Source organism: Homo sapiens, chromosome 5 (assembly GCF_000001405.40).
Source record: "Homo sapiens chromosome 5, GRCh38.p14 Primary Assembly".
NCBI classification, from domain to species: Eukaryota; Metazoa; Chordata; class Mammalia; order Primates; family Hominidae; genus Homo; species Homo sapiens.
In genome coordinates, this window is record NC_000005.10 from 1,548,402 (window position 1) to 1,571,588 (window position 23,187).

Sequence of the window (23,187 nt, forward strand, 5' to 3'; positions counted from 1 at the left end):
CAATTCTCATTCCATCCTTGTTCCCTGGAGTCCTGCGGGAGTGGCTGCTGCTGGATGTTGTCTCTTCTTTGGTAGCTGTCAAAAGAGATTCATGAAAAAAGTGAGTAGGTAAACGGCCCAACTACCTTACTGACCTGTAACCCTAGGAAATAAGCTGGGGTGGTTGGGGGCACAGGATCCTCTAACGGAGACCCCAGGGACCCAGGCGTGTATGTATAAAACCAGCCAACAACAAATCAATCTGTAACAGGCAAGAAGATCTACGGAAATGTTCTCTTTTCCTTTTTTAAGAAGAACGGTGGGAAAGCGATGCACATGGCCAAACGGTGCAATCGGAGGGGCAGATAAACAGCGCGATCGGAGGGGTTGATAAAGGTGTGATCGGAGGGGCTGATAAACGTTGCACAATGTTGCCTGTTTTTCTACATTGTCGCTGTTTCTCAGAAAGTGCCCTCAGGCGATGACACTCAAGAGCCCTCCTCACTGCAGGCTACAGGTGTCTCCCTGGAGAACTGCGGAGGGGCTCTATAGCACGGACCCTGCCCGTGTCATGGGCATACAGAAGAATCCGTGCAGGCTTCCCAACGGGCGGGATCCTGATGAGGGGCTGGTTCTTCTAAAGCAGGAGCAGCTGAGCGTGCAGGGAGGCTGCTGACCATCCTGCCCTGGAGTCTTCCGCAGCCACGGTTGCCTTGAGCAGGCAGAAAGGAGAAATATCTGAAAATGGGACTCCTTGTGCAGGAACCCACATTTGCAAATGGGACAGGTCCACCCCAGAAGGTTGCTGAGCAAGCTTACATGTCTGGGACTGGCCTGTCCTGCTGTCCGAGGGGTCCTTTTTCAGGGCCAGGCTCAGTGGGGAGAGGACGCCGGGTGGGGCTGCCTGCACGGGTGGGCCAGTGACGGTTGGGCTGTCTGCACAGGTGGGCCGGTGCAGCCCGCAAGCGGACAGCCTGCCCGTTGGAACAAAGAGTCATCTAATTTGTTTAAAGTCCAAGTGTAAAGAGACACGGCAACTTTAATGCTGAGGGGCCGGCGTTCTTCAGAAGACGAATCCGGAAATAACTTCCTTCCTTAGAACTGAATCCTGCCTTACGATAGGAACTCGGTAAAATCTGTGAGCAGAAGACTTGCAAACTTTTACTCTTAACATCCTTGCAATGGCCATTTCTCCTTTTGGTCCACCTCTCAAGCTGCACTGCACGTAACATGTTTTCAGCCCCAACGCAGGCTGCCGTGGGATGTGCCAGGTCTCGGCAGGTCAGTGACAGCTGCAGGCAGAGTCTTCCTCCCGGGTGATGTAGCTTTGAAGCACCTGCCATCGGCCGCCATCTCTCCTCATTTCCATTTCATATCGATTTAGCATTTGTGATTGTGTACCATTTTTCTTAAAGAAAACCCCTGAAGTCATCTGAGGCCCAGGCCCTGTGAAATGTGGACCAGAGTGGGAGCGGATCACAGGGAGCCGCCACCTTCTCCTAGAGTCCCCACAGCTTTCAAGGGTGACAGCCCTGGGCGTGTTCTGCAGAGGCAGGAGGAGACAGTTTTTGAGGGCAGCAGGGCAGGGCGCTGATGGAGCCTGCCGGCCTCAGCCATGGACCCGTGGGCTTGCCTTCCTGAGGCCAGCACCTCTGCTCTCCAGCCACGTGGCCATAGGCCGGCTGCTGACTTTGTGGGTCCTTGGTGTTCTCATTTGGAAAATGGGGCATAAGAGCTGCTTCGTGGGGTCATGGGAATGTCAGAAGCCCCTGCCCAGCGTGTGGCACTGAGCATGTGGGTGGCTTTCTCCCTCTGCCCCTGGGCCTGAGTGCTGTCAGGAGTGTGACCAGCACCCTGTCCTTTTTGTCCCACGTCCTCCACCCCTACCTACGGCAACAGTCATCCTGTCCCCTTGGGCTCAAGATGGCCTTGGGCTTGCATTTAACCTGAGTGTGCCTCTTCCCAGGTGAGAACGCAGCTACACAGAAAATGACGGTTCCTGAAGAGGAGCTTTGACCTCTGACCTCTGCTCTGCTCCTGCCCCAGGGCCTTTGCCCGGGCTGCCCCTCCTACAGAAGGTTCTCAAGGCTCGTGGACTCCCGCTGTCCTTGCTAAGACCAGCTCTGCCTCCACCCCACCCTGTAGGCTCCCTGCCTTTTCCCTGGGATCAGGCTGTTTCCGTCCGCACTAGAAATGGGCCCTGTGCAGGCAGGGACGAGGGCTCAGTGGGTACCTGGCATGGTCATCCCTCCGCAAATGTCAGTGGAGGCAATGAGCTCAGTTTTAATAACATGAGTTCTTTCTTTAGAAGTCTGCACAACGGCCCCGTCTTGTGCCTCTTCCTTACCATCTGGAACGGGAGTCTCATCGCTACACCCAGGAGAACAAACATCATGAGAACTGGGGCTGAGGAGCACAGCTGGGGGTGGACACGCAGCACAGTCACTGCCCTGGGGAACAAAGGTTCCCTCTGCAAAGCCATCCAGGCTGCCCTTGCCCAGCCCCAGGCCCTCTCATTCACTTGTTTGCTGTGCCCACTGTGCCTGTCTGTCTGCCTCCCCTGCTAGACAGCAATCCCCCTGAGGGCAAGGCCCGGCCATTAGGAGATGCTCAGCCAGTGCCACTGAATATCGGGTTAGAAAGTGAATGAGTCTGTTCAGGTGATAAGGAGCTTTGGAAATAGAAACGGTGATGGTTGCACAACATCGTGAATGCCACTGACGGGTAACTCAAAGACAGCTAAAATGGCAAATTTTATGTTATACATATTTGATATTCCATAGTTCATAAAAACCCAAAAGAAGGAGTGACTAAATGTAAAAAGTGTAATCTTAAAGTTAAAAACTAGGAGATTTTCTTAATGCCTGAGATAGAAAAGGATTTCTTAATAACTAAAAGCATAGAGAAAAACATTGGCAAATTGAAACAAGGCAACATTGTTAAAGTCACCATAAACCAATGGAAAATAAAAGCTGTGAACTGGCCAAATAGTAGTTACAGTGAATAAAATTGGAAAAGGATTGGCATCCACAGACTGAAGAAGTTCCTCGTAGCTGTAGGAAAGCAAAACACCAAAAAACAGGCACAGCTCATGAACAGGAGACTCGCTGAGAGGAGACCTACCGGGCCACGGAGACAGGGCACCTGCCGTGCTGGAGCTGGCTGGGGTACCGAAGCTGCAATGGGCACCCGGCCTGGAGCTGGCTGGGGTACCGGAGCTGCAGCGGGTGCCCCGCTGGGGATGGATGCACCTCTCTCCCCTCGACTGAGGAAGGGAGCAGGTCTGACCAGGCCTAGAGCCCGTGACTGCTGGGCAGTCACACTGAATACAGAGACTGGAGGCTCTACTCAGGAAGGCAATTTGCAAATCTTCAGCGAGGGAAGCTGCGAGGCTGAGATTCAGGAACAACACTTGCAGGAATATGCCCTGGAGGGACTGACACTCGAGAAGAATTTTTGTTTTGGAATTGTGAGAAACTGAAAATGCCCATCTGCAAGGAAAGTGATAAATGAAGTGGAAGGAGTGATAAGAGTTTTGTACAGTAGTATACGGAACACTCAGTCGAGCCGGATGCGTGACCACGACTGCCCGCACCTGCTCCTGTTGGCAGCATCACCGCGCAGCCCAAGCCCGACAGTGGGATGGGGGTCACTTCAGAGGCCCTGCAGTAACTGTGTTGTGCAACCGGAGAGGAGAGACACGGGTTCTGGGGGACTTTGAAGGCAGCGCTTTTCAGTGGGGGCTCTGGATCTTCGTAAGAGACGGAGTAGAGACGGCAGAGAAAACACCACTTGGAAAGAAGGAGCAATAGCAGATAAACCCTGTGTGGCTGAGCCTGGGGACATGGTGCACAGAAAGGGAACTGGGTGACCTGGTGGACCCTCAGGGTCTCACACGCCAGGCTGGGTGGGACTCGGGAGAGGGACTGAGAGGGGTGAGATGCTACGATACTTCACAAGTGTTCAATTATGACTTTAAGTTTTACCCATTTAGTTTTGTTTTATTTGACAAATTATGGTTTTATATTTTTATTGTAATATTGCTTTTTTCAATTCATTTTACATTTCAAAGTAAAACCATTTGCCTAATCATCAGTCATTTTACTGCTAACAGCATTGATGGGCATCTGGTTTTAGCTTCAGTTTGCAGCCAACCCTTTCGCTTTCAGAGTGAGGATTCAGTTCATTGGCGCGGTTGTGTCTGGCGGCGTCAGCACCCCTGTGACAGGCAGCCTTTCTCCGGGCTTAGAGCGTCAGCGAAGGGATTATTTCAGGCCGACACTTGGCATGGAGAGTTGTCAGGCAAATGCATTTTTGAAGAGTTGGATTTGATCTCAATTATTCCATTTGGCTTTGTGAAAGGAGAGGGTTGGAAAACAGTTTACCCAGCTTCTGGCTCTGTCATATTTTCATTTTAAATCTAAAGGCAACGATGCTGGCAGGCAACCAGCTCTCGGCGTGGACTGACACTTCAGCTACTCTGGGAAAAGCAACCTCATTCAAACAAGCCAGAGCCTTAGTAGCAGCCACCCCACTTTCCCGCCGGGCTGGGCCACGATGCTGACCCAGCGACACACAGCTCCCTTGTGTTCCCGCTGGACGCTGGCCCGGCGGCCGTGGCCTATAGAGCAGGCCCCTCGGTGCATGAAGCCAGCACAGCCCTGGAAATCCCGTGCAACAAAAAGCCTCTGTTCCACCCAGAAGAGCTCTGAGCAGAGAGGGCCCCGCCGAGGCCTGCCGCGACGGACTCACAGATGGGCGCCTGGAGAGAGCGGGCTTTCATTAGGTCAGCCCAGGGGTGGGGGGAGCAGACAGCACTGCTGGGCTTGGCTTGGGAAAGAGGCGCCCCGAACCCGGAGGAACTTCCAAGAGTTTACAGGACGCTCAGGAGCCTCCTTCACTCTGCCTTTTCTTCACGTCCTAAAGTGCACGGAGCTGGTCTTTAGTTTCCAGACAGTGAGCATTAGCCCAGGTGGGCTCTCCTCTGCCAAAGAGGGTCCTGAGGACCCCCACGACTTACAGCCCCCACCACTAGAGCCCCCACGACTTGGAGACCCCACGGCTTAGAGCCCCCACCACTAGAGCCCCCACTACTTAGAGCCCCCACGACTTGGAGACCCCAAGTCTTAGAGCTCCCACCACTAGAGCCCTCACCACTTAGAGCCGCCGTGACTTAGAGCCCCCCACTCCTTTGGATTTTGGGGAGTTGCCCCGCCAGCTCCCCGTCTTTGTGGCTCTGTAATCTGAGATGTCCGGATGGTCCTCTGATAGAAAAGCCCAGCCCTGCAGTTTCCTCTGCAGCCCATTGATGGGGGAAGTGGGGTCCTGCAAGGCTCTGGTGGGCCTGCAAGCTGGGCCTGCTGAGCCACAGGGGCTATTCTGATCACCTCCTTCCTCTCTACCCTATTGGTGAGGGGGACCCGCTGCCCTCAATGGCACCAGATGCCTGAGTGCCCAGCACCCAACCCTGGACAGCTGAGAGTGACAGCAGGCCACGGTCACAGGTGCTGATGTGCGGGTGGAAGGCGGCCCACTCCACTCGGGGACAGGGTGGGCTCTCAGGGGCTGCATGGCTTTGCAGTGGCCGCCCACAGGGTGAGGGGACCCTGGCTCTGTGGGGCTTGGGGCAGGGTGTTGGGAGAATCCTGTGGGCTGGCAGGGATCTGAAGCCCAGCGGGCTGAGGACCAGATGGGTGCTGCTGGTCCCGCTGGTGGAGGAACTGGCAGGGTGGGGAGCCTTTCCCCCTGGGGGACACATCCTATGAGGACAGCGGCTCCCAGGAGGCCTCCAGAGGCTGGGAGGCCTTTCAACGCGAGGATCTTACTGGCCACAGGTGCTGCTCAAACGAACGCTCCGAAAGTCTCAGCAGGTGAGAGCGCAAGTCTCAGTGCCGGAAACTGCTGTGCTGGGGGTGAGGAGGGGTGGACCCAAGGGCAGCCAAGGGCTTTGTGGGGGCACCTGGGGCCCAGGGCACAGGAAGAGCCATGCCCCACATCCAGTGCCCCCAGGTGTAACCCTGCTCCTCATGGCCCAAGAGGTTTTACGTGTGGATGGGTTTTAATTGGGTGTCTGGAAGCAGGTAAAGTTGTGTCTGAGCTTGGTAATGAGAGGCAGGGTAAAAGGGAGGGACATCTTGGAGGTGACATGCCTGATGCAAGGTCTTTACCAAACAGAAACTCCACAGGCCTGACCACACCTGACCAGGGCACAGGGCAGCCGAGGGCAAGGGACAGGTCCTGGTTTGGGGCCACTGCATGTCCTTGATCAAGGCATTGGGTGTTCAGCACCTCATCTTCCTTCTCTGCAAGGTGAGCGGCTTGGTCCCCCAAAACTCCAGTGCATTTATGAATTTTAACTGTTCTACAAGGCTACGGCCAACATGGGTGCCTCCGAGGCTCAGCCTGAAGGCAACATGTGGGGAGCCTGGTGGAAACCAGCCGTGTGGCCGAGGGCAGGCGCGTGCCGGGAAGTGCCCCTGTGCTGCGCTCATTAAGTTGTGATGGTGGCTTGTTAGCAGCTTGTTTTACTTCAAGATACTTCACTACATAAAGATTTTCAATTATGAGACAGATTGAATTGAAAACTGACTTTTCTAAAAACAAGGATTATTCCACATTGCAGAAATGATCCTCAGCTTCAAAGCTTTGTTTTTTAATGAGTGCACCCTTTAGGCATTTGGCACGTCTGGGATCCAAACCCTTGTGTTCATCCTGTGGACTCTGCAAAACGCACAGTGCCTCATGTCTCTTTCTGAACCTGGTCTGGTGTGAGCAGTGAGGAGGGAGTGTCTCAGGCTCCCATGGGGCTGAGGATGGGCTCCACGATGTCCCTCAGCCCACAGAGACAGAGACACACCCAGAACCTCCAAGCCACGGGTCTTGTCTGCAGCTGGGCCAGGTGGACTGCACCTGCCAAGGGAGCCTCCAGGGTGGGTGCTGGCTGGCCGGGCGCCCTCCTCACACACGAGGGCGGGCCAACTTGAGTGGAGCCGTGTCTGCATGCAATGCTGTCTCTGCCCCCAGCAGCTGAATGCCACCTGCTGAGCTAATATTTGCTGAACCATCGAGTCATGGATTCCTTCCTGACAACGTTGCTTAAGTGTTTATCCGAGCAAGAGCTTGGGTCAAGGTTGCCCTCGTCTCCCTGCCTCCCTCTGCAAACACCATTCAACTGCCAGCAGTGCCCTTGATGTCCCGTGTCCAGCTCCTCTGAGTGTGGTTTCCTGGCTCATAGTTGCCCAATGTACGGCATTCCTTGTGGTGAACCACAGGGCTGGCCCAGGATTCTTAGATGTCGGAGGAGGCGAAGATGCCACGTCCAGCAGAAAGAGCTGCACAGTGGCGGCCGCGCGTCAGAACGGCAGCTGTGGGGTGGCTGTGGAGCGGGGCGCCGGCGGTGGGTTGTTTACCACGAGCTCTACAACCAGTGGCTGTGTCTGTGTTTTTTCTCTTTAATGGAATGAAGCAAACGCAGGAGTGCCATGTCCCTGCAAGGACACAGTAGGGGTCTGGGTGATTTAGGGCCCTGGTGAATTCACACCCTCCAGGACATGAAGCCCTGTTTTCTGCACCATTTTACTGATGAGAAGCTTGAGGCTGAGAGAGGCCACTGGAGCAATCTGAGGGGAGGCCAGATCAATGCTGAGCCCTGCGGGCCTCACCTTGCAGGCCACAGCCTCCCTTATCATCTCTCCAACCCCAGCCGAGGCCCTAGGTCCACCCCATGTCCGGGTCATGATCCAGGAAGGGGTCAGTGCTGATCTAGAGCCTGGCGACAGAGCCCCTGGCCCGAGGCCTCCAGGAAGGAGTGTATCTCCAGCTTGCTGCCCATTGGCTGAGGACAGCGGGCTGGGGCATGAATCCCACGTGCGCGCAAGTGCCATTTTGCTCTGTGCTCCATGAACACAGGTGCCCCGAGCGCCTCCTGAGTGCCATGTGCAGAGTGGGCGGTGCCAGATGGGGCCCACCGTTGTCCACAGGGCTTGTGGAGGTGCTGCCGTGCCTCCCAGATGCCCTGTCTGGGCCTGTACCCCTTTGCCGAGTTGAGGAGGCTGTGTACCTCTTTGGGAGATGCCTGGGAGGTCACGAGCACAGACTGTGGGTGGCCCAGAGCCAATGACTGACAGTGGCGGGTGCCATGGCCACCCTGGCCTCCCCAGGGCCAGCAGTGGGGTGCGGGTCACTGGCTGACAGGGACCCCCTCCTGACGCCTGGTCCTGCCCTATCCTGCTCGCCTCGCCCCTTACCCTCAGGTTTCTCCTGCAGGAATCCCCATGGGAGTGCTGGCTGCTGAGGGACGGAGCTTCCCTCCTGGTGGGGCTACAGGGTGAGGAGGGCTTCGCATGGCGGCGGCGGCAGAGGGAACGGTGCTGTGAAGGCCCTGGCAGCACGAGAACAGGTCCACGGGGTGGGGGGGGGGCGTGGGGGGGGCATCGGAATAAATGGAAGAAGAATCGATATGATACAATTTAGCGCTTTAAATTATGCACTTTTATGACATGGAATTGTCTTAAGAAAATACCACGTGACAATGAAGGATGCAGAACTGTGCGACGTCAGCCCTGAGTAGACACGAACACGCAGGAAAGTCCCGGAAGGCCTGTGGCCATGGTCTTCAGTTTCTTCCTTTCCCTCAATGCCTCTTCCAGTTTTGTAGGGTTAGCACGCATTGCTTTCATAAATAAATACAAAATAATAATGTGTGACATAGAAGGGCCAACTTCTTGAAATGCTGAACTCAGGTAACTGTTTGACTCTAAACTGGTTTCTGGAAATGGTTTTCCTGTTTCTCATGAACTGCTCAGGTGGGCAGAGGCCACTTACAGTTGGCAAACGGCAGAGGGCCCGGGTGTGGAGCTGTGGCCCAGGCTGGTAACGGGGAAGTTCCTCTGATTCGGGGTGAGGTTGTTCCCAGTGCATTTCCAGGCACACCCACCTCTCTGAATTGCTGAAACCTTTGCGCCTCCTCCTCAGGTGGAGCCCACACTACACTCCCCTGTCAGCTCAGGTCATGTGTTTTTTACCTGGGGTGAGCAGGGCCCAGCCCACCGCGTGGGTGAGAATTCGGTGAATTCCCTGTGTGTGGGTTTCTGCGTGCCCCACGTGCGTGCACCAGGGCCAGGTGCTGTTTCACTCACAGCCGGGAGCTCCATGGCCCTGGATGGTAAAAGCGTGTTTCTCCCCAGGGCCTGACTCTGCCTTGAGATGCTGCCTTCCTCTAGGGACCTCTTGGAGCGTCTGGCTGGGTCCCTGCGTCCAGCTGTGGATGAGAGAGCTGGGGGCTCAGTGGACAAGTGGGGGCGTGGTGGGGTGGGAGAGAGCGCCGGGGAGCGTGGCATCCTTGCCCCCTATCCTCCCAAGCAGGAGCAGTCATGTGGTCATGTCTGAGTGTAAGGGCACAGAAGCCAGTGGCCCCGTGCTGTGGGAGGGAGTTGGCTTGGCCAGCACGCTGCCTTGTTGCTGCACTGGTGCCTGAAGCATGGCTCCTGATCGGCGTAATAAATGCCAGCTGCCATGGGAAAATGTGTCTCAAAGTGTGTGCATTGCTACATCCAAGAACAAGCCACTTTCTAAGACGAAAGGAGCATATCCCAGGCATTTTAGCAGTAATTGGTCTCACATCTATTCCTATTACATCTGCAGTGACTTCCTTCACTGAAGGCTGGAATCCCTGAAAGTCATCCATGAGGATTGGAATGAACCTCTTCCAAACGCCTGTTCATGCTGACACTTTGACCTCCTCCCATGAATCATGAATGTTCTTAGTGGCATCTAGAATAGTGAATCCTTTCCAGAAGGTTTACAATTTACTTTTCCCAAATCCATCAGAGGAATCACTAACTATGGCAGATACAGCCTTAAAAAATGTATTCCTTAAATAATAAGGCTTGAAAGTTGAAATGAGTCCTTGGGCTGTGGAATGGGTGTTGAGTTAGCAGGCATGGAAACAAGATTCATCTCCTTGTTCATTTCTATCAGAGCTCTTGGGTGACCAGGTGCATTGTCGGTGAGCAGTAATATTTTGAAAGGAATCTTTTTTTCTGAGCGGTAGTTCTCAACAGTGGGCTTAACATAGTCAGTAAACCGTGCTGTAAACAGACATGCTGACATCCAGGTTTTCTCGTTGCATCTATAGAGCAAGGCAGGGTAGACTGAGCATGGTTTTTAGGGGCCCTGGGATGTTCAGAATGATCCATAAGCATCGGCTTCCAATGAAAGTCACCACTGCACCAGCTCCTAACAAGAGCGTCAGCCTGTCTTTGAAGCTTTGAAGCCAGGCACTGACTTGGCCTCTCTAGGTAGGAAAGTCCTAGATGGTGTTCTTCCAATAGAAGGCTGTTCTATCTACATTGAAAATCTGTTGTTAAGCGCAACCACCTTCATCAGTGATCTTAGCCAGATCTTCTGGACGCGGAAGGTAACTTGCTGCAGCTTCTCCATCAGCACCTGCCGCGTCACCTTGCGTTTTTATGTTATGGAGACGGCTTCTTTCCTTAAACCTCATGAACCCACCTCTGCCAGCTTCCACTCTTCCTCTGCAGGTTCCTCGCCTGTCTCAGCCTTCACAGAATTGAAGAAAGTTAGGGCCCTGCTCTGGACTAGGGTTTGGCTTAAGGGAATGGTGTTGCTGTTTTGACTGTCTATCCAGAAAACAAAAGCTTTCTCTGTATTAGCAACAAGGCGGGTTCACTTCCCATCATTCATGCACTCTCTAGAACAGCACTTGTGATCTCCCTTAAGAACTTTTCCTTTGTCTTCATTACTTGTCTCACTGGTGCAGGCCTCGCTTAGCTTTCAGCCTATCGCAGCTTTCAACCTGCCTTCCTTGCTAAGCTGAATCATTTCTGGGTTTTGATTTAAAGTGAGGCGTCGTGGCTCTTCCTTTGAGCACTCTGAGGCCATGGAAGGTTTAGTAACCGGGCCAATTTCAATATTGTTGTGTGTCAGGGAACAGGAATGATTGGGAAGAGGGAGAGAGGTGGGGGAACGGCTGACTGCAGGGGCAGCTAGAACACACCAAACATTTATTAAGTTTGTGTCTTATATGGGTGCAGTTCATAGCACCCAAAACAATTACGTCGGTAACATTGAAGATCCCTGATCACAGATTGCCACTGCGTATATAATACTAATGAAGAAGTTTGAACTGTGGCAAGAATCACCAAAATGTGACCCAGAGCCACGAAGGTGGCACACGCTGCTGGGAAAACTGCGCCCGTGGAATTGCTCCACGCCGGTTGCCACAAACCTTCAGTTTGTAAAAAAAGTAACATCCATGGAGCAAAATCAAGCAAAACACCACAAGACAAAGTACACCTGTATAGCTCTCTATAGATCTACATTTTTAAATACATAGATCTATATAATTTATATAATACTTACATAATATCTCTATATAGTATATATTAGGTATGCAATATTGATTATACAGAGCTACATGTAGATCTATAAATTATATACATAGCCAATATTTTAAAACATATAAGAATGACTCTTTATAATGGCAGAAGACATAAATGTCCCCTCCTTTTCTATCTATGAATCTGGAATCTGACAGAGAAACCAACCCTCACAAGCTTTCGTCGTACGATGGGCCTGGCTTCACTGAATCCTATCTATGAACCTGGAATCTGACAGAGAAACCAACCCTCACAAGCTTTTGTCGTACGATGGGCCTGGCTTCACTGAATCTGCATCTTATGTCACACTTATTGCCAGCAGGACCTGCCTAGTGACATTTAGCTGCCCTTCGAGTGGGCTGGCACCAGATGGAAACTGGACATAAGCTTTCGTGAGAGATCGTGTGCAGTTCCTGAGCTTTGTGTTACCAGATACTGTCTCTTCTCAGATGAGGGTCAAATTGAAATTTCATTACAGAAACCACCAGTCGCCACTGTTGAAGTTCAGAAGGGGTCCACCTAGTAAGGAAGGAGACCACTACTACTCCTGCTGCCCACCTTGCCTAGTTCACAAGACAGGAGGAAAGAGAGAAAGCAAAGAGTTGGAAAGAAACAAAAGTAAGATAAATAGCTAGATGACCTTGGCACCACCACCCAGCCCTAGGAATTAAAAAATAATAATAACATCAACCCCTGACCTAAACTACTTGTGTTATCTGTAAATTCCAGACGTTGTATGAAAAAGCATCGCGAAACTTTCTGTTCTGTTAGCTGATGCATGCAGCCCCCAGTCACGTTCCCCACGCTTGCTCGATTTGTCACGACCCTTTCACGTGGACCCCTTAGAGTGTAAGCCTTTAGAAAGGCCAATAATTTCTTTTTCAGGGAGCTCGGCTCCTAAGACGCAAGTCTGCTGATGCTCCCGACTGAATAAACCACTTCCTTCTTTTTTTTTTTTTTTGAGACAGAGTCTTGATCTGTCACCCAGGCTGGAGTGCAGTGGCATGATCTCGGCTTACTGCAAGCTCCATCTCCCAGGTTCACATCATTCTCCTGCCTCAGCCTCCCAAGCAGCTGGGACTACAGGTGCCCACCACCACGCCCAGCTATTTTGTATTTTTAGTAGAAAGGGGGTTTCACCATGTTAGCCAGGACGGTCTTGATGCCCTGACCTCGTGATCCACCCATCTCAGCCTCCCAAAGTGCTGGGATTACAGACATGAGCCACTGCACCCAGCCAAACCTCTTCCTTCTTTAAGCTGGTGTCTGAGGAATTTTGTCTGCGGCTCGTCCTGCTACACTGGGATAGCCTTTCCTGGATCCATGAAATGAGAATTCAGTGAGTCAACTTTCAGGGTAACAGGATTTTAAGACATCTTCATTTATGTAAAAGAAATCCCATTCACAAACATTCCATTTTCAGTAACTGTGTTAATTGTAAATGACTCTTGTACAGTCACTAGAGCAGGCATCGCAAAAACATTGGTGCCTCGTTTTCTCATTGATAAATATGCATGAAAGTCGTCTGTTTCAACGATGCAGACAAAGATACAATGTTCCCTAATCCAGATTACATCTTTTAGCCTGCTTGATGGATTATCACTAATTAGATTTATTCTTAGTTTTGTTACATGCAAATTTATCTCAGTGAAAAATAAACTCAACTAAATACTGTTCTTTACTTGCTCTCTTGGATAATAAGAATGTGGAGGGAAGGGTGAGGTTGCAGTGATGTGGGGATAAGGGGAAGGCGGAGGACAGACCTGGACCTGGCAGAGGAGGAAGAGGAGGAGGACGAGGTGAGAGAGGCCCCTCATCTTCCCTGGTGTCGTGCACGCGACCTCAACTCTCGGCTCCTGTGGTCTGGGTGGTTCCTGGGTGCACAGAGAGCCTGGGACAGAGGTCCCAGGGACAGAAAGTCCTTGTTTCAGAGGATCCAGGGTGACTGTGCAGTGAGTTTGCAGCAGCTCACCCAGCATGTTGGGGGACGGCAGGGCTGGGTCCCTTTCTTGGGTTGCAGCTTTTCCAGGTCATGACATTGGCTCACTGAGCACAGCTCACACAGTGGAACGGCCAAGGCTCCAGGAACACGGCTGGGCACTGGGTCATTCCGTGTTTGGGAAAATATCTTTCTTTTCACAAGGAATGTGGCATACATGCACACACACACACAAACTGATTAACACACATATATGCATAAACTAATAAACACATATACACACGTGCACACACTCACATATTTACCAACATACAAACATGCATACACTCACACACACACACACACCGACACACACATATGTAGAAATTCATAACAGACACACACCAACACATGACCATACATCTACAAACTTATAAACGCACACACACACACACATCGACACTCATACATACAAATTCATAACACAGACACACACCAACGCAATACCATACATCTACAAACTTATAAACACACACACACACATCGACACTCATACATACAAATTCATAACACAGACACACACCAATGCAATACCATACATCTACAAACTTATAAACACACACACACACACATCGACACTCATACATACAAATTCATAACACACACACCAACGCAATACCATACATCTACAAACTTATAAACGCACACACACACACATACATACAAATTCATAACACAGACATACACCAACACAATACCATACATCTACAAACTTATAAATGCGCACACACACACACACACTGACATACATACAAATTCATAACACAGACACACACCAACGCAATACCATACATCTACAAACTTATAGACACACACACACACACACATCGACACTCATACATACAAATTCATAACACAGACACACACCAACGCAATACCATACATCTACAAACTTATAAACGCACACACACACACCCCAGCAATACATGTGTGTTAATCTGTTTGTGCTACTATAACGAAATGCTTCTTGCTGGGTAACTGATGAAGAACAGGTTGTTTTCTTGCACAGTTCTGGGGGCTGTGAAGTCCCACATCGAGGCACCAGCCTTAATCCACCCTCCGCCCTCATGACCTAAGCTCCTCCCAAAGGCCCCACCCCCAACACTGTTGTACTGGATATTAAGGTTCCAACACATGGATTTTGGGGGACCCATTCAGACCATAGCAGCATTCATACACACAAACTCTTACCCTTGAAAATTAAAACCCTCACACTGAACTGAGGTCCTGAATCCTCCTCTCTGTTCCAGACTCCACTCAGCTCAGCCTCAGCCCCAGGACTCCTTGTTCCCAGGGAGTTCAGTTCCCCGCAGCAGCTCCAGCTGGGCCTCCTCGCCCGGAATGGGCTGGGTCGCTCCAGGGCCTCAACGTGCTCGGCCATCACCACGCTTTAAGGGGTCTCAGGAGGTAGCAGGATGCATCGTGCCATTGGTCACGCAGGCTGCACGCTCCTCAGCCCCTAGAGCAGCGGTCCTAAACCACACTCTGTGCCAGCCGCAGGCCGGGTGAGCACAGAACAGAGGCAGCTCTCGGGACGAGAAGGAAGCTTTCTGGAAATGCCTCCCTGGCTGAGCCTGGTCAAGCGGCTGCGAGCCCACACCAGGCAGCTTCCAGGGCCCAGGAACTGATGCCACATTGGGGACCCCTCCTGTCAGGAGGCTGATGCGGCCCCACACGCTGGCTGGCCACGTGCGGGAGGGTCTCCGGGGGCTGCTGCCTCATGTCTCTGCCTCTGCTTTTCTGGAGGACAGCCCCTAGACAGGCTCCTGAGATGTGGCCGCTGCTGCTGCTCCCCTCACTCACTGGAAGCGCATGGTCTGGAGCTCACCCCAGAATCCTTGGGTGGTTTTCACCCACAGCCTGTAGAAAAGCCACATGGATTCAAGGCCATGCCTCTGCACCATGTCCTCTGTCCCTGAAGGCAGAGGGGACTTGGAGCTGGCCCCAGCATGGCCATCCCAGCTGTGCCCAGGAGCCACCTTCTCACACCCAGTTGAGGGCCTGGTAAAGCAGCACCCCCAGCAACAGCTATACAAAGAGCCCCTCTGGCCAGCCCTGCCCCCCACCTTTCCTTGTGGAGGGTCCTCAGGTCCAAGGTCCTCAGGGTTTTGCTAAGGCCCGTCGGGGGCCCTGCTCTGCAGAAGCAGTCTCCTCCTGTGGACAAGGCTACCGGCACTCACAATGCCAAAAAGCAGCAGAGCCTGCAGGCCACAGAAGCCACGAGCCAGGGCAGCTGCAGGCACTCACCTGGTGACTGGCACCCTGGCCCACCGGCATCCGAGATTCTCCTCCGCACCTCCCCCTGTCCTCCTCACCTCCCCTATGTCCTCCTCACCTTCCCCCACAACCCCATCCTCTGGGCTGTGACTTCCCACCCTCTGGGTCCTGGCACAGTGTCTGGCCTCCCAGAGAGGGGTGAGGTTGAGAGAGGCTGACAGGCGTCTCCGACATGAGTCAGCCCATTCAGTTCCTTTTCCAGGGGCCACACTGAGTCAGCCCATTCGGTTCCTTTTCCAGGGGCCACACTGAGTCAGCCCATTCGGTTCCTTTCCCAGGAGCCACACTCGAAGTCACAAGAGCCTTGACATGTTGCGGTGACCGCCTGCTGCCGGGGCTGACTGGCTTGTGACCCCGGCACCTGGAGGCCTGTCTCAGATCCAACCCATCCTGCCCACCACATTTTCTGGACAAACCCTTGTCCCCAGGGAGACAGTGGCTACTGGTCCCTGAGTTTCTCAGGGAGTTGGGCCTGCCCCTTGGGATCTGGAGGCCCCTGCAGTGTGGGGAGGAGGGGCCGCTCCTGGTGTCACAGGGGAGGGAGCTCAGCAGGCAGGGGAGAACCTCGCAGAGGCTCAGAGCTGGGATGGGACGGGCAACGTGCGGCTCTTCAAAGGTGACTGTGGCTGTTTGTTCATTTCAGAATATCCCTTAAGCCAACTCTCTCCAGCAGGTGAATTATAGAATCAACACAGTGCTTGAAATATCTAAACCTTTGAAGAAATCCCTAAAAGGATGACATGAAAGTATTAAGTTTATTTTAATCAATTCCGCTAAATATGTGGATGGATAGAGGCCATGTTTTAAGACAACCTCCAGCAAATTAAGGTGAACAGTTCTGCAGAGTAATGAAGATCATGCCTAGAGTATACCTCCGAGGTCCTGGGAGTCCTGGGCACAGGCGGGACCCAGAGGACAAGGGTGAGTCCATCCACAGGCGGGTCTGTGCACTGGTGAACTTAGAGAGTGCAGGATGTTCCCAGTGTTGTCTGGATTTCCAGGCTTTGCTTTGCACCTTGCCTCCCTCTGGCCCTCTTGCTCCTGGCCTGGCTCCGGCTGCCCCTCCATGCAGCGCCGCCCTCTGTGCAAGGCTCTGAGTGGGGCTGCCTGGAAGAGGAGCCCAAGGCCTCCTCACCCCTCCTGGAGCCGGTAGCTGGGGGTCCCACCCAACATCGCCCTGTGGCATCTGCCCAAACGCCCCATGGGCATCCTGCCTCCCTGCACCTGGTGAAAGTTCTGTGGGAGGCGCTCTCCATTCCTGCCAGGTCTTTATCATACCATGCTCTGGGCAATGTTTTTGTTAAATAAGATAACATGAGCCCTCTCCAAGTTACCTGTCCTGCAGGGTGCAGGGTGGCGACTCATGCCCAGGCGAGTGACCTTCACCAGCCTGTCCTGGATTAGCCGGTGACTATGCAAGACATCCGATTGTGCAGCTTAGAGCCAGAGCTGCTGTGCAGGGTGCTGCCCCCGAGCCATCCCAGCGCATCCTGGCGTGGAGCAGGGTCACGGCTGGATTAAGGGGAAGGTGAAGTGGGGTCAGTGCCCTGCCCCCTGGACACACAGCAGGGGGCTGCTCCTGGGCATGGCCTTGGGACGTGAGGTGCAACTGGCTACGCACACTGGCCAGGGGAGGACCCCTCTTCGCCTCCACACTGCACGCCCCTTCCCTGGTTTTCCTGCTTTTGCTTCCTGACCTGTGTCCGCCAGCACACACCCATCAGCTGGAGGGCAGAGGAGCCCTCTCCCCAGTAAGGACTCACCCAGGCCGAGGAGCCCAGGTGGACAGCAAGGTTGCCATGAGCAGGGACCGTCCTGAGTCCAGTCCAGTCCCCCCTAGGGGCATGTCAGCCTGGTGGGCAGAGCTCTGTGCCCTTGAGGCCCACCAGGTTTGGAGGCTGGACAGGTGAAGACACCCCGGTGCCATGTGGCTGAGTGGACGTGGCAGGCAGAGCGAGGACAGAGGGAGGGGCACGTGCTAGTGCCAGAAGGAGGCTGCCCACGGCCAAGTGGCCGACACTGGTCTTCCCAGCCAGCATGGAGAGTGCCAGAGGCATCGGGTGGCCCCTGGGGAACGCAACTGGCCAGACAACGGGCTGAAGCCAGGGAAGGCCTGGGCGCCTGCCAGACCACCCTGGCACTTCCTGTCACTGTGGCCTCCACTGCTGCATACTGGGCCCCCAGGGTGCCACGACCATGGCCATGGCCAGCCCCGGAGGATGGCCAGGGGCGGCCCACACTGTGGGCTCATGTCCCCTGTCCTGGAGGCAGCAACCGTGTGCCGGGACCCACCTCAGGGGAGGCTGTCGGGGGCAGGGGGGTAGGGCTTTAGATGCAGGTCGAGGGACCCACCTGGCCTCCAGACACACACTTTGGGGAATTCCTCTCACTCACTGGCTTGTGTGGCTGGGCAGTCTTGTCTGTGTCTTGCCATGTGGGACGGGACCAAGAACCCTGGGCACCAACTCACCGTCAGCCAGCCACCTCCCCGTAGCTGGCGGTGCAAACCTGACTGGAAGGCACCAGCTGTTGTGATGCCCAGAGCCGGGCTCAGGAGGCCTCTCCACCTTTCTCTCAGGCTCCCTGTGCAGTGCAGCCTGACTCTGAAGGGGGCTGCAGGCATGGCTTTCCCAGCACCCACAGCCCAGCTCATTTTCCCTGCCTGGGTGATGCAGGGTGTGTGTGGCTCTGTCTTTTTCTGAAGCTTTGGTGCTGGCTGATTCAGCTCATCATAAAAGGCTTGAAACACTGGTTTGGGAGAGTGCCTGTGGACCTCCCCTCGGACTAAAATAGCAACTTGGGGGTTTAGCCCTGTCCCATCAATCCCCAGGCCTACATGTTCTCCTTTCTTCCAGTGGGGGTCTAGGGGATTAGAGATTATTAGTTCTAGTGGGTTACAGTGACCGGCAGCACAGGAGAGATTGGCTTCCCCTTTTTGAAGGTGAACTGGGTCTTTTTTGTCCTTTTTTTAAGTAGCCTAAATAACACATGGCCAATAGGCACAATTTTCACAGATCCTTGACTTATGACAAACATATTTATTTTTTACTGTGTAGCTCTTTTCCTAGTTAAGAGAACTCCATTTTAATTCTAGCTTGTTACCATTAATGGCTGCACAAGCATCAAATTTTAAAGTTACTTGTTTGGGAATTTCTTTTTCTTCTCTTCTAGTTATTATTTTACTTGTATCGCCAAGGAAAGGACCAGTTTTTTATTTTAAAAACGGTGGTCGCAGGGGGCTTGGATGGGTTATAACACCCATCAGATTGGTCATTTCCTGGGCTACGTACCTTGTACTGTGACATTATACAAACAAGTTCCTTTTGATGTTCCTGTACATTTATAATAACTATAGAATGAAGGGGACCAGCCCCTCCACACCTGTGGGTATTTCTCATCAGGCGGGATGAGAGACTGAGAAAAGAAATAAGACACAGAGACAAAGTATAGAGAAAGAAAAGTGGGCCCAGGGGACTGGCGCTCAGCATACAGAGGACCCGCACTGGCACCGGTCTCTGAGTTCCCTCAGTATTTATTGATTACTATTTTCACTATCTCAGCAAGAGGAATGTGGCAGGAGAACAGGGTGACAGTGGGGAGAAGGTCAGCAAGAAAACATGTGAGCAAAGGAATCTGTGTCACAAGTAAGTTCAAGGGAAGGTACTATGTCTAGATGTGCACGTAGGCCAGATTTATGCTTCTCTCCACCCAAACATTTCAGTGGAGTAAAGAGTAACAGCAGCATTGCGGCCAACATGTCTCGCCTCCCACCACAGGGTGGTTTTTCTCCTATCTCAGAATTGAACAAATGTACGATCAGTTTTATACTGAGACATTCCGTTCCCAGGGGAAGGCAGGAGACAGAGGCCTTCCTCTTTTACTAATCCTACTCAGCACAGATCCTTCACGGGTGTCGGGCTGGTGGATGGTCAGGTCTTTCCCATCCCACAAGGCCATATCTCAGTGGGGAGAAACCTTGGATGGTACCCGGCTTTCCTGGGCAGAGGTCCCTGCGGCTTTCCGCAGTGCATTGTGCCCCTGGTTTATCGAGAATGGAGAATGGCGATAACTTTTACCAAGCGTACTGCCTGTAAGCATTTTCTTAACAAGGCACGTCCTGCACAGCCCTAGATCCCTGAAACCTTGATTCCATACAACACAGGTTTCTGTGAGCTCAAGGCTGGGGCTAAAGTTACAGATTAACAGCATCTCAGGGCAAAACAATCGCTCGGGGTACAGATCAAAATGGAGTTTCTTACGTCCTCCTTTTCTACACAGACACAGTACCAGCCTGATCTCTCTTTTCCCCACATTTACAAACGCCACAGTGAAGAACTTTGTTGCAAACACATGCAGGCTGTGAAAAGAACTCTGTGCCTAAAGTCCTTTCATTTCTTTGCTGGAGTTTTTTTGAGGCAGATTCTAGAATTGCTGAGTCAAAGGGCAAATGCCATGTAGTTTTGTTAGACGCTGCCAAATCCTCTTCCATGAGGCTGCAATATTCTGCATTCCACAGTGACGTATGAGAGTCCTTGTATCCCACAGCTTCATAAACAAAGCATGACGGCACATCTGCACGTTTACCAATCACACAGGTGAGAAATCTTATCCTAGTTTCACCTTTGTTTTTGGTTTGCATTTTTGTGACCAGCTTTTTTATGGTATAATGCACAGAAGGTAATGAACACATTCTACCCACAAGCTTCTTCCTGTGCCTTTGGAATCTGCTCCTGCCAGTCTGCAGGCAACCACGGATCTGCTTTCCGTCACGTAGGAGGCATTCTTGACACCCTCTGTACACAGCATGCACTTTTTAAATTTGGCTTCTCTTACACAGCATAGTGACTTTCAGATTTATTCAAGCTGCTGCGTGTGCCAATAGTCCACTCCTTCCTAGTGCTGAGGCCCCCATCACATGAGCACAACTGTTTCCTGTGTGTGATGTGTTGTTCTCTGGCTGTGCACTGCCAAAAAAGACATCATTAAAAAAAATCTAAATATAATGTAAAACCTGCCTTGTCTTAGGAAAAGTTTTTCTGGCAGTGGCTCACACCTATAATCCCAATACTCTGGGAGGCTGAGGCAGGAGGACTGCTTGAGCCCAGGAGTTTGAGACCAGCCTGGGCAAGATGGTGAAACCCTGTCTCTGTAAAAAATATAAAAATTAGCCAGGCATGGTGGCTCACACCTGTAGTCTCAGCTCCTTGGGAGGCTGAGGTGGGAGGATTGCTGGAGCCCGGGAGGTGGAGGTTGCAGTGAGCCGAGATCACAGCACTGCACTCCAGCCTGGCCGGCATGGCAAGACTCTGTCTCTACCAAGACAAAAACAAAAAATTAATAGAAGAAAAGCAAAGATTTTTCTTACCAAAAATACACTTTAAGGAACAAATTTATCATATTAAGTTGGTGCAACAGTAATCATGGCTTTTGCCATTGAAAGTAATGGCAAACACCACAATTACTTTTGCACCAACCTAATATTATTTTCTAATGACAAACTTGGAAATAATTGTCATTGTTCTCTAAAAAGAACAGTCTAAAAATAAAGCAGCAGCCCATTTACTTCTATGCCAGTTCTTTTAGTATTTGGTTATTTAAACTGGTGGTCCCTAACCTTGTTGGCACCAGGGACTGGTTTCATGGAAGACACTTTTTCCACGGACAAGTGTGGGGATGGTGGGGATGGTTTGGAGATGAAACGGTTCCAGCTCAGATGAGCAGCATTAGATTCTCATAAGCGGCGCATAACCTAGATCCTTCGCATGCGCAGTTCACAACAGGGTTCCACTCCTATGAGAATCTAATGCCACCACTGATCTGACAGGAGGCGGAGCTCACACAGTAATGCTTGGACAGGAGGCGGAGCTCACACGGTAATGCTGTGACGGGAGGCGGAGCTCACACGGTAATGCTGTGACGGGAGGCGGAGCTCACACGGTAATGCTCTGGCGGGAGGCGGAGCTCACACGGTAATGCTCTGACGGGAGGCGGAGCTCACACGGTAATGCTCTGGCGGGAGGCGGAGCTCACACGGTAATGCTGTGACGGGAGGCGGAGCTCACACGGTAATGCTCTGGCGGGAGGCGGAGCTCACACGGTAATGCTGTGACGGGAGGCGGAGCTCACACGGTAATGCTCTGGCGGGAGGCGGAGCTCACACGGTAATGCTGTGACGGGAGGCGGAGCTCACACGGTAATGCTGTGACGGGAGGCGGAGCTCACACGGTAATGCTCTGACGGGAGGCGGAGCTCACACGGTAATGCTCTGACGGGAGGCGGAGCTCACACAGTAATGCTTGGACAGGAGGCGGAGCTCACACAGTAATGCTTGGACAGGAGGCGGAGCTCACACAGTAATGTTGTGACTGGAGGTGGAGCTCACACAGTTAATGCTTGGAGAGGAGGCGGAGCTCACACAGTAATGCTGTGACAGGAGGCAGAGCTCACACAGTAATGATATGACAGGAGGCGGCGCTCACACAGTAATGCTCTGGTGGGAGGCAGAGCTCAGAGAGTAATGCTCTGGCAGGAGGCGGAGCCCACAGAGTAATGCTCTGGCAGGGGGCGGAGCTCACAGTAATGCTGTGACTGGAGGCGGAGCTCACAGAGTAATGCTCTGGCAGGGGGCGGAGCCCACAGAGTAATGCTCTGGCAGGGGGTGGAGCTAACAGAGTAATGCTCTGGCAGGGGGTGGAGCTCACCCAGTAATGCTCTGGCAGGGGTTGGAGTTCACACAGTAATGCTCTGGCAGGAGGCGGAGCTCACAGTAATGCTGTGACTGGAGGCGGAGCTCACAGAGTAATGCTCTGGCAGGGGGCGGAGCTCACAGTAATGCTGTGACTGGAGGCGGAGCTCACAGAGTAATGCTCCGGCAGGAGGCGGAGCCCACAGAGTAATGCTCTTGCAGGGGGCGGAGCTCAGAGTAATGCTCTGGCAGGGGCGGAGCTCAGAGAGTAATGCTCTGGCAGGGGTTGGAATTCACACAGTAATGCTCTGGCAGGGGGTGGAGCTCACCCAGTAATGCTCTGGCAGGGGTTGGAGCTCACAAGGTAATGCTCTGGCATGGGCGGAGCTCACACAGTAATGCTCTGACGGGAGGCGGAGCTCACACAGTAATGCTCTGGCGGGAGGCGGAGCTCACACAGTAATGCTCTGGCAGGGGGCGGAGCACACACAGTAATGCTCTGACAGGGCGGAGCTCACACAGTAATGCTCTGCAGGGGGCAGAGCTCACAGAGTAATGCTCTGGCAGGGGGTGGAGTTCACACAGTAGCTCACCGGCCCACTGCTCACCTCCTACTGTGCGGCCTGGCTCCTAACAGGCCATGGACTGGTAACAATCTGTGGCCTGGGGATTGGGGACCCCTGATTTGAATAATCGAGGACACACTCACCTAGTAAACCATCTGCCAAGAAAAAGGAGGAAATGTTCGTTTTCTCCATTTGCTCTCAGGCACCAACATTAATTTGAACTTAGAAATAAACTACAACAAAGCCAGGCATGGTGGTTCACACCTATAATTCCAGCACTTTGGGAGGCCAAGGAGGGAGGAT

The 23,187-nt window shown here is 52.7% G+C and overlaps 1 long non-coding RNA gene across 1 annotated transcript, besides 2 other annotated features; it reads left to right on the forward strand.

Moving 5' to 3' along the window:
- The first annotated feature begins 8 nt into the window (after positions 1-8).
- On the forward strand, positions 9-7,554 carry LOC107986397 (uncharacterized). The gene is made up of 2 exons (XR_007059102.1): positions 9-100; positions 1,946-7,554. It is a non-coding gene; the product is annotated as an uncharacterized LOC107986397 (long non-coding RNA).
- Positions 1,488-1,988: an enhancer, noted in NCBI's record as "H3K4me1 hESC enhancer chr5:1550004-1550504 (GRCh37/hg19 assembly coordinates)". NCBI's record gives its function as "activates a minimal SCP1, AML or CMV promoter by ChIP-STARR-seq in primed H9 embryonic stem cells {active_cell/tissue: H9 hESC(primed)}" and the evidence as "EXISTENCE:reporter gene assay evidence [ECO:0000049][PMID:30033119]".
- Positions 17,308-18,289: an enhancer, noted in NCBI's record as "H3K4me1 hESC enhancer chr5:1565824-1566805 (GRCh37/hg19 assembly coordinates)". NCBI's record gives its function as "activates a minimal SCP1, AML or CMV promoter by ChIP-STARR-seq in naive H9 embryonic stem cells {active_cell/tissue: H9 hESC(naive)}" and the evidence as "EXISTENCE:reporter gene assay evidence [ECO:0000049][PMID:30033119]".